The sequence below is a fragment of the Homo sapiens genome, chromosome 10 (genome assembly GCF_000001405.40).
Source record: "Homo sapiens chromosome 10, GRCh38.p14 Primary Assembly".
NCBI classification, from domain to species: domain Eukaryota; kingdom Metazoa; phylum Chordata; class Mammalia; order Primates; family Hominidae; genus Homo; species Homo sapiens.
In genome coordinates, this window is record NC_000010.11 from 83,823,180 (window position 1) to 83,824,259 (window position 1,080).

General features: G+C 48.1%; 1 annotated feature.

Moving 5' to 3' along the window:
- Positions 245-745: an enhancer, noted in NCBI's record as "H3K27ac hESC enhancer chr10:85583180-85583680 (GRCh37/hg19 assembly coordinates)". NCBI's record gives its function as "activates a minimal SCP1, AML or CMV promoter by ChIP-STARR-seq in naive and primed H9 embryonic stem cells {active_cell/tissue: H9 hESC(naive and primed)}" and the evidence as "EXISTENCE:reporter gene assay evidence [ECO:0000049][PMID:30033119]".

Sequence of the window (1,080 nt, forward strand, 5' to 3'; positions counted from 1 at the left end):
CTTAAAGGAAACCCCCATTCCCATAGGAGACTGTTACACTGATCTTGATAATAGGCAGGTTTGGAGTTGGCTATTTAGATGCCAAAATTCATCAATCCAACAGTATTTTTTAAGTCTTGGTTTTAGTTCATTGATACTGTTTGGGTGCTCATTCTTAGGATAGAAGGCCTGAGCTGTAATCCAGGAAAGGAGCCTCTCCTCAGCCTGCATGGTGAGGAGGAGTTACCTAATGAGTGCTCTTTAGCAGAAGGCTCAGCCAGCAGCAGCTACTCCGAAAAACTTTCATGTCAGGGAGATTAAAAAATCATTGTCCTTAGGATGCTGAGCTCACCATCTAGTAGGCCTGAGGGTAACCTCTCTAAGCTGACAAAACTGGACCTTTCTGGGCCTGTCATTATCTCGCTGAACCTGAAAATGAGCCTTGACCTGAACACCAGGCCCGAGCTCCTTGCCATTAACTCTACCAACTACCACAGCTTTGCTGGAGCCAAGAACTCGAACATGCATCCTTGGGAGAACTTAATTGCCTGCTTATTGCTATTGCTTTGATTAATGAGGGCAAACCTGCTCTCAGCAATGCCTCATAAAAGGAGTGAGCCGCCACATTTTAGAAAGCAAGAGCCAAGAACCCTGAACCACCTCCTGGCCAACCATCAACACGTTACCACCACACAGAGACGCGCATGCATGGGTACACATACATGCCACAGGCACGTGTACACATGCACACACTGCCTTTGAGGATCCTATGCATGCTCGCCACTAGTACAAGCCTGTCTCCCTCCCTCCCTTCCTTCCCCAGGCTCTCCAGGCTACCCCTGCTCAGCTGATTGCCCTGACCTCAGGCTCCTACAGGTCCAGCCATGGAAACAGCTGGAGGTGACAGGGAAGTCAGGCGTTTTCAGCCAACGTGCAGTGGTGAAGCTGGGCTAGGACTCATTCTGATTCAATTTATACTCTGTTTCCTTCTGAGTTTATGGCACTTTTACTTTCATGGCCCTGAAAAAGCATCTTTGTCAAAATACACATCATAGCATTATGCCTGCGGAGGAGGCACTTTACGATGCCCTCCTCTGTAAG